Source organism: Homo sapiens, chromosome 1, assembly GCF_000001405.40.
Source record: "Homo sapiens chromosome 1, GRCh38.p14 Primary Assembly".
Classification (NCBI taxonomy): domain Eukaryota; kingdom Metazoa; phylum Chordata; class Mammalia; order Primates; family Hominidae; genus Homo; species Homo sapiens.
In genome coordinates, this window is record NC_000001.11 from 214,348,138 (window position 1) to 214,365,386 (window position 17,249).

A 17,249-nucleotide genomic window follows, 5' to 3' on the forward strand; every position below is an offset into this window, starting at 1 on the left:
TTGTCAATGCATTACTGGGAGAAGTTGTTATACTTTTCTGTTACTTACCAAGGATACATAAAGCATCTACCCACATATGAGGGGTTCACCGTGAATGTGCTATGGTGGTTACTGGCTGAAAGTCTGGGACAGGACAGCCACCTTTAAACCTGGACACAAGTTGAGCTGTTATAAAGCTGAAAGGCAAAAGCAAGAATTTAAATTTTCTACAGCAGCCTGGTTGGTGCCTGCCTTTTCCACATCAACAGTTTGGTACCTGAGTAAATGACAGTGAAGGAGGAGTGAGTAGGGGCTTGGAGCTTAACGAGGCTTATTGCTGCATTTGTGAGAAAGACCCATTTCTATGTATTCTTCACTCCACTTGCCTAGTGATCACCCCTTTCAGGTTTCTTCTAACAGTGACAACCTTGGGAATTTCAAACTAAATCTTCAGTATGATAAGGTTATGCAGGACTAAAAACTGGGTAGCAATAAATGGGCTTTAGAAAACAAAGCATGCAGGTTTTCCCAGGCACTTTCAACTAATGCAAACATATACAGTACAGAAAAGAGAAGATGTAACTTTTCTCTGAAAAAAAGGTTTATTGCATATGGAAATCAATAGATATCTTTTACAAAAAAAGGTTAGAATAAAGATCTCACATTTGTAAAGGCACATATGAAACATTTTATAGCAAGCACAAGGGCAGTGAGAACATCAACAAGGTCCAATATCTAAATAAGACTTTATAAAAACAGATAGGAAACAGTGCAAAAAATACTGTCAAAGTCAGTTCTATACACCTCATAACTGTGTATACAACTGGCAAGCATAAGCTTATTTACTGATATAAAATAGCACATAGAATAGCATGCATAGTTTTATTTTAGGCTTTTCATATTATTAAATTGATAGGGAGTCTATACCAAAGTACAGTTGACATGAATAGTGATAAAAATCACTCCCCAGCTTAGGGAATGTCCTATAAACATCTCACCCCTCCCTCTGCTTACAACTACAGTTTGGTAGTAAGGAGACTGGGCTTCCATCTTGCAAGGTGGCAAGCGGCCACCACAGGGGGCGAATGTGCTCTCAGGATCCCAAGTCCCAACCTGGAATGCATTTCTTACGGCAACAACATAAGAGATGGTGATTAAATGTCTGGGTCAGCCCACAAAAGCCAACCAGATCTGGCTATCACAGCCCTCCATTTGGGCTGTGGTGGAGGTCAGTGGGCTTCTATGGGCTGACGCAAGAACCTTAAGAACAAACCGGTTTCTAAGTTGGGGACTTGTCTGTACATCGTTTCAAAATGAAACCTAATAAATGTCATTTGTTTTGAATGATACCAAAATTCACAACATTTTGTGAAACAAAGATCAAGGAAAGCATCAAAATACTGAAGTAGGGAGCACAAGCCTAGTCCAGTGAAACAAACTAGATTAGCTTGTTACTTGATGTAACACAAGTTACATAAGGTTACACATTTATTAGTAATTTGCATATTTAAACCTTTTTTTCCACTGAAGTATCCTCAAGCACATTAATTAGCTATTGAAGGAACAAAGGACATACATAGGAACTCATCTCTGATGAAGAGTAGCTTTATGTCAGAAAGGAGAAGGCTAATGAATTTTTAAGATTCCAAACAGTGGCAAGAAAGTTCAAAGGAAATTGCAGTAAAATTGTACAATGTTCAAGTTGAAAAAAAAAATGGCTCTGAATTACAGCATTCAGTTCTATGCTCAAGGTATGTATTAGCTAACACTGCAGTTGTCAGAGGTGGGAGGCCCCTGAGAAATGCTGAGAATGCCAGGCACCCCAGTTCTGAGAGCCACCCTAGCTAAACTCAAAGCAGCATTCTTGAGATTTTAGCAAAAGGCTCCGCCCCAAGCCACAAAAAGATCCCAATCCAATCTTTTCAGCTTTATCCTCTAAAACCTTTTGTCAGATGAGATAGCATTTGTGTTTCCCAGGAGGAGAAGGTTGGGGAAGAAAATGAAGATAGCTTACATACAGATTTTGGATGACCCGCTAATCTTTCCCCTTCCTAGGTAAGTGAAAACAGATAAAATGTTTCTGGGCAGCCCAAAGGTTTACCACCTGTTTCACTAGAATGGCCAGTCTGTGTAAAGAGGCTATAATGACGAAAGCATTTTCCCTGCAGGGAGAAGCTAGAAACAAATGGGTCTTCCTATACATCAGTCTGCCAAATGCAGCCTCTCTCAATCTATATAAGTTCACCTCGAAATACATATTAAGTACTGCTGTCATCATTGTTTTAAACAGAGCGTCTTTCATTTTTTCTAATAGTGACTGATTCTATCGGCAAGGGAACAAAAGGGTGAGAAAGGGAGCTTCCTGCTTGCTGAGTTTTCTAGCTATTTTCATTCTGGTTATTTTCATCCGCCAGATCTTTTTTTTTTTTTTTTTTTTTTTTTGAGACAAAGTCTCACTCTGTTGCCCAGGCTGGAGTGCAGTGGCATGATCTCGGCTCACTGCAACCTCCACCTCCCGGGTTCAAGCAATTATCCTGCCTCAGCCTCCTGAGTAGCTGGGATTACAGGCATGTGCCACCATGCCTGGCTAATTTTTTTTTTTTTTTTTTTTTTTGTATTTTTAGTAGAGACGGGATTTCACCATGTTGGCCAGGCTGGTCTTGAACGCCTGACCTCAGGTGATCTGCCTGCCTCAGCCTCCCAAAGTGCTGGTTTGATTACAGGTGTGAGCCACCACATCTGGCCATTTGCCAGATCTTATTCTTTGAAACTATACAAGCAATTTTTAAAAAATTAAAATAAGATTTCCTAATTACATATTTCTGAGAGGTTTAAGGCAATGATTCTCTGACGAGGATTAACTCTTACATCTGGGTTGCACTCATAGGGTAGGTAAAGAAAAGAAAAAGTGTACTGTTGAGAGTTGATCCATAAAGCAGATGGGGAAATATGAAAAGGCAGCAGAGGCTGGGTGTAATCCCAGCACTTTGGGAGGCCGAGGGGGGTCATCACGAGGTCAGAGGTTTGAGACCAGTCTGGCCAACATGGCAAAACCCCGTCTCTACTAAAAATATAAAAATTAGCCGGGTGTGGTGGTGCACGCCTATAATCCCAGCTACTTTGGAGGCTGCACTCCAGCCTGCGCAACAGGAGTGAGACACGATCTCAAAAACTAAAAAAAAAAAAAAAAAGAAAAAGAAAAAAAAAAAGGCAGCAGACCCTAAGTGAACAAGGTGCTCATGGAATGAAGAGGGTGACAGCACACAACAGTCCCACCCGTTCCCCTGAACAAGACAAGGAACACCAAAGTCACTGCATGTACATCCCAGTTTTGTGGCCTGAATAGAAACATGACTTGCTCTAAAGGGGAATGTCCTCTGCAGCACCTCTGAGATCACAGGGGAGAAGAATCAAGAAATCCAAGAGCCGGGGCTGCTAACTCTGGGAGCCACATGGGTAAGCAGAATGCTCTGCTAACAAGCAAGGCAAGGAAAGGCTGCCAGCAGCAGGCGAGGGAAGATGGTGCTTTTGATCAGCAAATCCAGGCAAATATGATAAACCACACATCATAATCCATGACATTCATCAAGCTCTACCTCAACAGTGAAGACAGTTTAAAACTATGAGCTAGGGTGAAATAGACTCCAACACTGCTGCAGGCTTTCCCTAGCATGCCACTTGGTGGTTTCCATCACTCTGACATTACAGAAAGGGAGGCAGGGAGTAGGAGAGGCATTCCAGAGTTCAGAAAATTATTTGTGAAACAGAGAACTTTTGGATAGCAACTTCAGGACTGATGCAAAAATCCTTCCTCTCCCTCTTCCCATTTATAGAAACTTTTGAGCAAGTTTATGGCACTTCTGGGAAAGAATGATCCTGATGGCCCAAAGTGTGGCAGAAGGAGCAATGACTTTCCACACAAATGCTTGTCATATTCAGGCTGCCCAGTAGCTCCAGCCCTCCTGCCTTGTAACTCAATGTCCTTGAATTTATTTTTAAAATGGGAAGGCTAAAAACAAAGCTGCAAACGGTAGGAACTGATGCACATCCTCTTCTTTACTGTACCAAACAACAATCATTTTCCAGTCTATGAAATTGATGGATGCCAGACACTCAATGCTAGGCTCATGGACATTTTAATAGAGAATATCTTAGTTTGGCTTTGAGAAAGAAGATGCAGCTATATTAAGCTGAAAAGATAAGAAAGGTAGTCTACTGAATAAAAATACTTACCTATCTGAGTTTCTAACAGAAACACAAAAGCTGAGAGCAGGCTGGATAAAGGCTGAGTGTTGATGGCGCAAGCTGGTGGTCAAGTTTCACAGGGCCCCCTGAATAACACTGACTTCTGGACAACACATTTGAGGTGGCAGAATTTGATGAGATTTCCCCCACATTTCTCCCTGGCACGTTGCTGTTACTTTCAACAGACGCCATCTGTAAGGTCCTTTGCCCCAAAATGTCTTAGAAGCTTAAGTAAAGACAAGAACTATTTTGCTTCCTTGCTCAGCGTTCAAGAGAAGTATCAAATGCAGTTTAACATCTTACAGCTTTATTTCCACCCTATAGGGCCAACTAGTGTGCCAACCATAAGGCTGTAGGCCATTGGAGAATTTGTGTGGTTTCTACAGAAGACCCAAATTTCTCCATTTGGAAACCATGCTGGATGAGCTGTTGCTCTGCTCATGAAAAGAAATCACTAAATAAGAGCATGATGAGTGTCTCAAAACCATTGGCAATATAATAAAACACAGCAGCAGAATAATTGTTGGTAAAACATGGGAATGCTCAATTCCCTAAAAGGGCTACCCTAAGAGCCCAACAGTAATTATGTGGTGCTTCCGGAAATGTCTTACTCTAGGAGCTCCACAGAGTTATTTCTGACACTGAGTAAGAACACAGGTCTGACTCAATCCCATCCCTTGAATCTGTGCTCCCTGGCACACATCCTAGAATGCCCTGTACCCTCCATCCCCCCAACCCCCGCACCTCAAGGGATTGACAGATCTTCCCCAAACGAAAATCAGTAACGAAATAGTTGTCCTTTACCAAAGGGGGCAATCAAGGACCCTCTGAGAATACCAGAATCCATGGATGTTCAAGTCTTTTATATAAAATAGCACAGTATTTGCATATAACCTATGCACATCTCTTGCATACTTTAAATCATCTCTAGATTATTTACAATACCTAACTCAATGCCTACACATCACTTCATTTGTGTGAATTCAATGTAGTATTCAGCATGTGGCAAATTCAACTTTTGCTTTTTGGAACTTTGTGGGTTTCCCCTCTTCCCCAAATATTTTTCAATCTGTACTTGGTTGAATATAGGGATGTGGAACCCACAGATAGGGGTGGTCAACTGTACTCATCTTCACCATCGAATACACCATTAGATGGGGAAAGGGAGACTAGAAGGCACATTCTGCTTTTTGACAAAGGACACTTTTGGGACCCATACGTCACGTAACAAGTAGGCTGAGGTCAGCTAATACAGACTGTTCATCGGGAAAGGACAGCAGCTAAAAACTCCAGAGTGATATGCCTGATGGCCAATCCGGCTTAAGAGAAGCTGCAGTGCACTATCTACCTCTGCAACTTCCATGTCCCAGGAGATGGCCCATTCACCAAGTGATGCAAGGATCACTATGAGCAGGGCAGCACGTTCGTGAAAAGAGCTGGGCCACCCAGGGTATACCTTTTGTGTTCATTAGCACTGCTCTGGAGAAATGACATCTGGTGTTGGGACCCACAGTGTATCAGGGGGAAGATATAGGTGATCCATGCGAGTACTGTCTATTTGCAGAAAATATGGTCCATTATTGGAAATTTCATATGGGTCAATCTATATTAAGCTGGAAAAATAATCAGCTGGATGAAAAGGCCAGCCTGCTGTACCCACTGGAGTTTATAACTGAAAAGCACAAGCTGAAAGAAAGCAGGATAAAGGTTAAGTAGGTGTAAGCCATGGTCAAGTCCTACAAGGCCCACCCTCAGCAGTCTACAAAGACCCTCTCTTCAGGCTGATGAAAGAGGGGGCCAGAGATGGCCAAGTGACTCTTAGGAAAACAATGACAGTTTAGCTATAATTTTAAAAAGCGGTTCCTCTTCTCAATCTACAAAATTAAAAGTAAAATTCTCTCAATTTAAGCTCCTCAAAAGCTTACGATTCAAAATATTCCACATAGGTATTTTTACCTTCCCTGATCTTATTGTTTAGCTCCGACTGAATATTGCAGCTCATTCATCTTTACTCCTATGTAATCAATGTTTAACATCCTTTTTTCATGCAACTAAATCCTCCTTTACTTCCTATCTGGGGAAAGAAGTGCATACCAATGTCTATGCTATCTGTAAATGCTACCAGATACTCTTGCTAAAAGATGGTATATCCAGTATATCCTTAGAACCCAAGGAAACCTAAGAAACCTCAGCAGGACATTCCTCAGCTAAGCCAGCAGGCTCATCTCAAGGATGAAGACATCAAATTCAGCCCCCATGATTCAGGGACCACAGTAAACAAGGATGAATACCTCGGGTCAATGTATCCAAATGAGTGTGGATGAAAGAAACCAAACAGTTCAACTGGAAAACCTCGAAAACAGCGGCTGGAAAATGTTTGATGGCTTTGTTGTGAGATGGTAACTTTTTTTTCCTCCATTTTACATTTTCTCCCTTCAAATCCAAACTGCAGCAATAGACACTGACAGCTCCAGCTTCAGACTTGATACATCATCAGGAAATCATTCCAAAAGCTCTAACTAGATAACTAATTTAATACACTTTGCTTCAAGGTTTATTCCTTGGCTTGCTTCCCAGATATAAAGCATCTCTGGGCAATTATTATGCAGATGCCACCGAAAGGACTTTAAATGGCTGCTGCTAATTTAACAGGAGATATGTTGGCATTTACTGGAGATGTGAAAAGGAATGCAAAATGTGCTAAAGAACCAAAGGCATTTGTTTTTAAAAGTGAAATATGTGGAACAACTCTTAAATGTTTTCTTTTGGGTTTCAATATAAACTTTGGCTAGAAAGTTGAATATTAAACCTACTTCCTCCCTGCATTTTGTACACTAATGAATATTCCCGTAGCATACGGCAGGGACAGTGGATGAATTTCAGGGAAGCCCATGAGCTCTGACGACCTCAAAGACGCACCAGATCTATATGCTGTCCACATGAGACATATTCTAACAGTGCCCACCTTGGGGCTTAGAGATAAAAGATAAATACTGATGTTGTTCATCACGCAATAAACCAGTAACTGAGACCACTTGCTAAAACATCCCTAACAGCAGAATATCCCAAGGATGGAAAAACCTCCAAGGAAAGGAAACAAGTATCTTTTTGCTTATTGATGAGCTTCTTATAATAAGGGTTATAAGCTCTGTTCACTGAAAATACATGTAATACTAATGGGTTTCTTTCCAGGACATACAACAAAACTCCAGAATCTACAAAGATCAGCAGATTATACTCCTTCACTGAGCCTTCAGACCTTGAAGTAGAAGACACAGGGGAAGCCCTCCATCCCCAGATATTCCGAGTCTAACTAGAGTACAGCCACCACAACACCTGGCCAGGTTGAAACAGAGGATTCCTATTCCGAAGAACTTAATGGGGAATATATACCTGTTGGCATGTGGTGATGGGATGTCACAAAGGCATACTTTTTCTGGTTGATTTGATGTCACTCCATCTTTTTAGCTCACGGGGGACAAAAGCAGCAATGAAGAAAGGCATATGGAACTCTCACAGCAGTCAATTCTAAGAAAAAAAACTGCAATTAAATTTTCCTTTCTCCTAACATCTAGTTTTTCTTGACAACCTTTTTTCCTTTTTTTTTTTTTTTTTTGGAGGCAGGGTCTCTCCGTAGCCCAGCCTGGACTACAGTGGCAAGATCACGGCTCACTGCAGTCTCGAATTCTTAGAATCAGGTGATCCTCCTGCCTCAGCCTCCCGAGCAGCTGGGACTACCAGGGCATACCACCACGCCTGGCTAATTTTTGTACTTTTTGTAGAGACGGGGTTTCATCATGTTGCTCAGGCTGGTCTCGAACTCCTTAGCTCAAGCAATCTGCCCGCCTTGGCCTTTCAAAGTGCTGGGATTACAGGTGTGAACCACCGTGCCTGGCTGACTACAGTTTTTTAATTGCACGTTTGTTCTTTGAACTGACCACTGTGGGCATTCCATGCCTTCCTCCACTGCCGCCTTTTTCCCAAGCTGAAAAGACAAGGAAGATGTGGCATCAAATTAACTAGAAAGAGCACGCCTGTGACTTCCCATCACCACGTAACAACAGGTGCATATCAAAGCTGTACTCAAGAAAAGGTAGACATAGAATGATAAATCCCCCAAAATGCAGTAAGAGGAAAAAAGTACAAAACATGATTTATTGTGTACCATCCTTGGAAATTCAGAAGGACACTGACCAATGAAGCCATAGGAAGAAACTAAGAACTGGGCTTCAAAGTGAAGATAACTGACCAGCGAGTGGATTTTATGAAGAAAAGGAAAGAAGCACAGGGCTCTGCCAATGACAATTCTACCATCGTTCATCAAGTGGCCCCAAGTTTGGACTATGGGGTCCCGAGTGGGATTAATTCTGATCTTGCAGACCAAAGCCTGAAGATGATATCAGCACAGCGGGGGTCACATTTGATGTGTTTCCTGGCCAGGACCCCTGTTATGTAGCTAAATGCCTTACAGCTCCCATAAATCAGCTTCCCCATCTGTTTCCTTGATGGCCTTTCCAATGACTTAGTGACCTCAACTTTTAGGTCTCTGTCCAGCACACACATCTTATTTAAATAAAAAACAATGATCATCAAGGCCCTGCCTGAAAAACACAATCCTCAAAGGCCCTGCCCAACTCCTTTCTCTTTCTAGGTCTGCTATCCTCTCTCAATCAGGGTAGAGCCTTAACTGCACAGATGGTCTGGTCCAGAGCCTCAATGCCACCAGACAGGGTCCTACTGAGCAAACAGGAGAGGTAGCAACAAATACCCAAGGTACAGTCGCCAGCAGGGAAACACAAGCTCCAGAGCCCAGGATAAGGGGTGGTCAAGAAAAGCACAACACAGAGCTTGTCTTTCGGCCCCAAAGATGGCAATTACTGCATTGTAAAGGCAGCACTGTCTTTAGCTATTCTGTCTTTAACTCAAGCTTGGGGGGGAAGTTGGGGTGGGGCGTGGGGGAGAGGAGACTACTGAGGATGAGGGGTGGAAATGAAGACGAGAGGAAACTGTCTATCAAGGCTCATGAGCCCCAAAATATAAGAGAATCGTGTTTGTTCCTTCAGACCCTTTTCTTTATATTTCAGGATGAATTCATTTTCTTACCGTCTTTGCTTTGGATATAAGCAATGAATGATGAATGAATCAAGCTGATAAATGAATTAAGCTGATGAATTTCAGGGTTGGTTACAAATCTGGCTGCAACTTCACAAGAGATGTGCTCCCTCATGCCTCTGTCCTCAAAATGATCCAGCAGGCAACCTTACCTGCTGACATATATTACAATACAGATCAGTCAAGATGTGGTTCAAATGAAAAGTACTATATTACTAGGGAAACTGCATTATAATAATTCACAAAAGTTATTCCAAAGGGGAAAAAAATAAATTATCTCATATAAAATAATACATGGTATGTGTGAATAATCTTGGCTACTGTCTTCAGAGAGCCTGTTTGCTGCCAGCCACCTGCACCCCTGTGGGGGGAGCAGATGTTGTCTGGAGGTGACTCTCCTCCAGCGCGATGGAGCTGGGTCCCTCCTCCAGGAGCTGGATTGGGGTGATTAAATGAGTCTGGAGTTTTGGAGGAACTGGATGAGGACTTGGTAGACAAACTTGTACTGAGCGATAGTCTGGATCATGAACATCCTCTGCTCCCTGAGGAGCCTCAGCATCATGGGCACTTCCACCTTCTGCAAGAAAAGAGAGAAAGCACAAGGTCCTGAGACAGGAGGCTTCCCTTTGAGCATTCCTCATTCCCTCATTCAGGAAGCACTCACCCACTGCCCATGTCCAGGTACAAGAGAAGGCAAGGGACTCTGCCCTGGCTGGGTTTTATGCATCAAACAGTTTATATCAGCAACTGGAGAACCTGGTCATCATGTGTCACTGGTGGGATATTTTATTTTTATTTAATTTCAAATTTTCTGAGAGGGTCTTGCTGTGTCACCCAGGCTGGAGTACAGTGGCACAGTCATAGTTCACTGCAGCCTTCAACTCCTGGGCTCAAGCAGTCCTCCTACCTGAGTCTCCCAAAGTGCTGGGGTTACAGGCGTGGGCCACCACACCTGTCCTGGTGTATTATTTTGAATACAGACTAGTCTGCTGGTTAAAACATAAAGGCTGGAGTTAGACCTGAATGGTACTCTCAACTCCCCTGCAACCCAATGACAGGATTTAAGACCTCTCAGGGTCTTAGTTTCCTCATCTGTAAAATCAGGATAATAATGCTTTCCTCTAACAGCAGTGTGGCCTTGCCCTAGTTAGTTACATTTCCTCAGCAATAACATGGGGTATGAAATAACATTTGCCTCATGGGATCAAATGATGAAACACATATCAAGCATTTAGTGCACAGTGAGTGCTTAATAAATATTACTCATTATTCCTTTTTTTTTTTTTGAGACAGAGTTTCACTCTTGTTGCCCAGGCTGGAGTGTAGTGGTGTGATCTCGGCTCACTGCAACCTCTGCCTCCCAGGTTCAAGAAATACTCCTGCCTCAGCCTCCGGAGTAGCTGGGATTACAGGTGCGCACCACCACGCCCGGCTAATTTTTTGTATTTTTAGTAGAGACAGGGTTTCGTCCTGTTGGCCAGGGTGGTCTTGAACTCCTGACCTCTGGTGATCCGCCCACTTAGGCCTCCCAAAGTGCTGGGATTACAGGCGTGAGCCACCCCGCCTGACCTCATTATTCCTTTATTAACATTAATAAATGTTATTAATGCAATTATAATCTCACAGGACTGTGGTCATGATCAAGTGAGATAATTTAAGTGTAAACCTTTAAAATGTCAAAGCGCCATCTCTGAACACCAGTCCTACTTGGAGTAAAAGCCTTCAACTGAGAACACTTTTTTTCTTTTTTTTTTTTTTGAGACGGAGTCTCACTCTGTCTCCCAGGCTGGAGTGCAGTGGCTCAATCTCTGCTCACTATAACCTCCGCCTCCCAGGTTCTAGCAATTCTCCTGCCTCAGCCTCCTGAGTAGCTGGGATTACAGGCACGCACCACCATGCCTGGCTAATTTTTTTTTTTTTTTGTATTTTTAGTAGAGACGGGGTTTCAGCATGGTGGTCAGGCTGGTCTCGAACTCCTGACCTCGTGATCCGCCTGCCTCGGCCTCCCAAAAGTGCTGGGATTATAAGCGTGAGCCACTGCGCCTGGCCGAGAACACCTATTTTGAGACAGAGTCTTGCTCTGTAGCCCAGGCTAGAGTGCAGTGGTGCGATCATAACTCATTGCAACATCAACCTCCTAGGCTCAAGCAATCCTCCCACTTCAGCCTCCTGAGTAGCTGGAACTACAGATGCACACCACCACACCCGGCTAACTTTTAAAATTTTGTGTAGAGACGAGGTCTTACTCTGTTGCCCAGGCTGGTCTCAAACTCCTGAGCTCAAGTAATCCTCCAGCCTTGGCCTCTAAAAGTCTTAGCATTATGGGCATGAGCCACTGTGCCTAGCCTTGAGTCTTAAATGAGAACATTTTGAGTATTAAATGAGATTGCCTATGTGTGAATTCTTTGAGAATATATACGATGATATATACTATCATTAATGAAAGGAAATTAATTCAGTGTCATGGGTACTTGAGCAGATCAGAGGCTGTCACAGTGTCCTCTCCCCTCACCTTCACCATGTCCATCCTCCTGGACTAGCCAGGACACATACGGCTGGAGCACCCCTGAGCTGTGGAGGCCATGGTGGCCTCAGCACATTCACTCTGCTCTGGGAGCTCTTAACCCAGGGCAAATGATGGCACCCAGGAAGTTTTCAAGGGCTAAGCAAGTGTTTAAAAGAAAATAATAAAAACTCAGCTGTATGCCTGACTTTGTAACCTTTGAACCTTAAAAAATAATTTAAGCTATTTCCAAGCCGTGTATAGGTATGACATGACACGTGCCATCAGTCACTCTTGTTCAACACCAACTAAGGAATGCATATCACAAACTTGCGACGTTGCCTGGGCTAGAGTGCAGTGGTGCAATCACAGTGGTGCAAAGGGACAAAGTCAAGTCCCTGCCTAATAAGAAAAGAAAAAAAAGGCATGTGAATCTTCGAACTATGAATCAAAATACAGAGCCTAGGTTATAAGCTTCTGACAGTAACAAGTAGGTCTCTGCCTAAATTATATTGCAAAGTGACCAGTATAAGATGTGACCTAGAGCCACCTAATAATGAACTTAATTTCATGTTTGATGAGGATTACTCTGCGGTTGGGCACTGAAGATAAAAGAATAGAGAGAATAAGGCTGTTCCCTCCCCTACCCACCAAAGGTTTTAGCCAGGAGGCAGGATCACACTGGTGTTCAGAGCACAGGCTCTGAGTAAGGCTTCATCTGCTGAATCTCAGCTCTACCACTTCTTGACTGTGGGAAGTGGGCACATTACTTCATTTACTTATGACTCAGTTTCTCTTCTGTTATGTGAGGATACTGATATGGTCTTGGCTCTGTGTCTCCACCCAAATCTCATGTTGACTGGAAATCCCCAGTGTTGGGGGAGGGACCTGGTGGGAGGTGATTGGAACATGGGGGCAGATTTCCCTCTTGCTGTTCTTGTGACAGTGAATTCTCATGAGATCCGGTTGTTTAAAAGTATGTTGCACTTCCCCCTTTGCTCTCTCTCTCTCCTGCTGCCATGTGAAGACGTGCTTAATTCCCCTTTATCCTTCCACCATGATTGTAAGTTTCCTGAGGCCTCCCAGCCATGCTTCCTGTACAGCCTGCAGAATTATGAGTCAACTAAACCTCTTTCCTTCATAAATTACCCAGTCTCAGGTAGTTCTTTATAGCAGTGTGAGAATGGACTAACACAGATACTAACAGGACTTAGCTCACAGTGTCACTGCAAAGGCTACTTGTGTTAATACTATCAGGCTCTTAGAATAGTGCGTATACATGGTAAACACTAGACACAAGTTAGCTGTTACGATATTATTTTCAATGTTGTCACCATCACCACCTCCTCCACCACCACATCCTCCTCCTCCTCCTCTACCATCATCCCCATCTCAATTACCTGTAGGACTGAGCCTAAATGACAGTATATTGTCTGATATGTTCAAGTCTGGGGATATGACAAAGAAAGTTCTCCTGGTCTTCAATGAAAGGGTCCCAGCTGGCTTAAAGATTCATTCACTCCCACAGGCTCTGCTCTTAACTGCCCCCAAGCCAAGGAAGCACAAAGCAGTTGACAATTGCTCAATCTTGTCTAGAAGACATTTTCTCCTCCTCACTTTATGAAGGAGGTATAACTTACTCAGAAAAGCAGCAAGATCAAGACATCTGCCCTTTGGCTACTGAGATCCTGACCTTTTGTAATTAGCTGTAGCTGGAACAGACAGCTACATCCAAGGGACTGAGTGTCCTGCAGACCATAAAACGAGTGCTTTCTGAAAAACTCTATGCACCTTAAAAAGTCTCAGCTAACACTCAGTGACCAAAAGCACTGGGCCACAGGGAGGCTTCCCAGAGCAGCCTGGGACAGCTGTCCCCACTCCCCACTGCACAGCTACCAACCTCATTGTAAGTGTCTGTGTTTCATTGTTTCTGCTCAACTTTTCTGTGTTTAGAATGAGACTGAGAGGGACAAGTCCAGGAAAAAGAAAGGCCATTTCATTGACAGAATTAAAACTGCATGAATTACAGACTAAAATATAAAGTATGCTAAATCCAGAAGCTGTGGAAAGAAGGCAGGGGAGTTTGGACAGGAGAAAAATGGTCCCACAATTTAATATATATTTGTTAAAATCTTTGCTTGAAACACAAAATAAACTAAACATGGTCTACTCTTCTCCTGAAATAGGGGCTTGGATCTTACTAGCCAGGCCTGAACAGTACCAGAACAAAAGGAGAGCATTTCTCCCCGCTAACCATCTACCAATAGCAACCATGGGAAATAGGACAGATAAGACTGGCTATATTTGTGCTAGGGGAAGAGAAGTGAAAAATATGAGTCATCTTGCTATCTTTGAATATCAATGGGAACAGAAGTTCTTTTTGGGTTGACCACGTCCCAGCAAAGAATGTTCTGGCATGCAGTTGGGCACTGAGGAAATCCGCTATGTTTGGACACACCATAGAGCATTTAACCACCCTGAGCCTTCACCAAGTCCACAGGAGGCCACACTGGCCGAATCCCTTACTCCAAACTGTTCCGGATTTGATATGCTTGTCTGTGCTCTGCCAGACCAGTAACATCTGGTGTTCAGTGAGCCCCCATGTCATTGCCTCACTGAGGCTCAGCCTTTGATGGGTCTCCAAAGAGCTCAGAACAGAATAGTCTTTCGTGTCAGACAAGACAGAATGGCTTCTTGAGTTGAAAAGGGGAAGTAGGGAGCGGAGCACAGGGAATGGGGAAAGAAGTGGAGTGGCCAGGCTTACGCCTGTAATCCCATCAACTCAGGAGACCGAGGTGGAAGGACTACTTGAGCCTAGGAGTTTGAGGCCAGCCTGGGCAACATAGCAAAACCCTGTCTCAAAAAAAAGAAAAAAAGAAAAGAAAACAAGGGGGGAATTTGGTGACAAAAGTGATATGAAGGGAAGGAAAGGACGATTAGGTGGGGAAGGTGATGATGAGGCCCTCAAGCCATGCACACACTGATTCTACCTCATCTTATTTTGTCTTCCTAGCAATGGATGGATTGAGACTCAGTGGCAGGTTACTCATTGTTCTAGAGATTTCTAGAGACCTCTAGTAGTGATGGGAATAGAGAGGCAAACAATAAAAAAATCCTATGTGGGGCAAAATGGTAAAAACTCAGAGGGCAATGACATTTCTGTTATGTAGTCTCAACTGATTCCATGATGAACATTTCGCTCAAGCTTTGTTTTATGTTTTTCTAACATTGGGCTACAGTTGGGATTGCCCCTTTTCCAATTTTTAGCAGCACAAACATTCATTCCCATGGACAGACTGGAAGATTCTCAAAATTATCTTTTCATGGGCAGAGAGTTTAATGTCTAAGCTTAGCATTCGTTGTTTTCCTGGATGATTCAATATGACAAACTTCATGTAGCAATATTTAATCTGATTTTCAAACGATTCATGCTATTGAATAAATAGGTATATTATCATATAAATTCCTCCACAGAGTTGCAACAAATCATTCTGTAATTTAAAAACTACCAAACCACAAGTTTCCTTTAATTTTTCAAGCCATATAATTTGAAAACTGAGTAAGAACCAAATCTTACTCAGCGTTTGGAGGCAGAGTGAAGACAGGAAATAACTCTGGACCCAGACACAGACCTTGCTTCTGGCTTCAGTACCACTGCGTAAGAGCCACATGGCACTAGACAAATCATGTAATTATTTCTGGGCCTCAGTTTCCTCTTCTGTGAAATAGGAAGAGTGACATGTTCATGGCTCCTCTACTTGGCTGATATGGCAGGCAAAAGCCCCTTAAAACTTCTAATGTCCCACGTAGCTAGAAGGTAGAACTATTCCTTAGCTTTTGACTGCTGTTTGTCTCACCTACACAAAATTGAAAGTCTCTCAGTGTAACTCCCTAATCCTACAGCAGCAAAGGAATGCCACGCACCTTGTGTGCACAGGCTCAGCAGCACCCCACTTCTGCAGGGAGAAGGGGTAGGGTGACCCGCTGATGCAAAGACGGGGATGTTTGCGTGCTCAAAGTATCTACTCTGCTCCGCTACACCACGCAACAACCAGACTAGACAAGCAAACAACCCCTCAAACCTCACTCTGAAGAATGAAAAACATTTTCCAAGTAGACACATTTTCACCTAGCATTTAGGCCAGAACACATCCTAGAAATGCAAGATGCATCGAAACTATATGGGGTCAAATAACTCACCATGGAAAATTACCCACAATAAAACCAGGCTATCTACAAAATGCCAAAGACTTCTGGAAGTAGATGCCGCCTAAGATCACATTTTCTAAGTGTTTTCTATTGCACACCCTCATTTCTCCTGTTTTATCTGGGTATCTACACGGAGCAGTGGGAGGGCAAAAAGATAAGGAGGGCTGTAAATGTCAGAGTCAAACTAGGAACCAGGAGCCTGGAAAACTCTGGTTGGGAGACAGGAAATTAACCACTGAAAATGCAAGGGTGCAGGCAAAGGTTTGGCCAGGGTGTAGACTTGTCCCCAAGGTGGAGTATCCGGAGAGAAGCCCAGAATGACTCACTTCGTTATGTTCCAAGCAGTAGATCATCAGCTCAGAAAGAATGAGCACGCCGGTCCTTCCCACCCCAGCACTACAGTGGACCACGATGGGCGGGTGCCGGTTCTTGGTGCCTTCCAGCATGCTGTTGGTATGGCGACGGACCGACTGGATCTCCTCCAAGTAGGCTGCAGGACAAAATGCAAATTCTGTCACCAAAGTCCTCCATGGCTTCGCATGTAAGTTGGGGAGGGGGGAGCGGAAGAGAACTGATGGTGAGTGTGTGTGTGTGTGTGTGTGTGTGTGTGTGTGTGTGTGTTTTAAGTGACAATAATTTATAGTTCTTACAAGACACTAATTATTTGGCTGGTACCCAATGTACAGTCCTGGATCCAGACAGGACCAGCTGGGAGTCAATTAGTTCGTGGGAGAATTTGTTCTTTAAATTAAATAGTACTTTTTTAAAAATTAAATTCTGTTTTCCCCTCTGCAAATCCCTAAGTCCCTCAAGCAGATGATTCTAGACATTACTTACAGCAATTCCTGCTATTAACAGACTGGGATCAGAACAACTGCTAAGTCCCCTTGAAACGCCCGCCTGTCAGAGCCAATTTCTGGTGGGGAGAGAGCATCCATCTGCCCCTTCTTCCTTCCCCTCACTGATGAGTGAATGTCAACTGAGGCTTGACTTCATTTTTGGGTTTTAAAGTAGACTTTGGGGAGTCTGCTTTTCAGCATGGATTCCACGGGGCTATGTGAGTAGCCCAAGATGAACCCCCATTCTGGAGGCAACATGTGTGTGAGGTGGAGGGGGTCATGATACCCCCCATGCCTTCTAGCATCTGCTTGGCTCAGCAGGGCTGTGCAGGGAGGGGTGCGTTCATGACTCCAATTAGGCA

The 17,249-nt window shown here is 43.4% G+C and overlaps 1 protein-coding gene across 6 annotated transcripts in view; it reads right to left on the reverse strand.

The window, feature by feature from the left end:
- PTPN14 (protein tyrosine phosphatase non-receptor type 14) overlaps window positions 563-17,249 on the reverse strand; it is a 202,903-nt gene continuing 186,216 nt past the window's right edge. For all 6 annotated transcript variants that reach the window (NM_005401.5, XM_017001941.2, XM_024448759.2 and 3 more), the window contains 2 exons: window positions 16,375-16,538; window positions 563-9,913 (listed from right to left, as the gene is read on the reverse strand). In NM_005401.5, the coding sequence (NP_005392.2) occupies window positions 9,785-9,913; window positions 16,375-16,538 (293 nt within the window). In that variant the 3' untranslated portion in view covers window positions 563-9,784. The remainder of the gene's footprint in view (window positions 9,914-16,374; window positions 16,539-17,249) is intronic.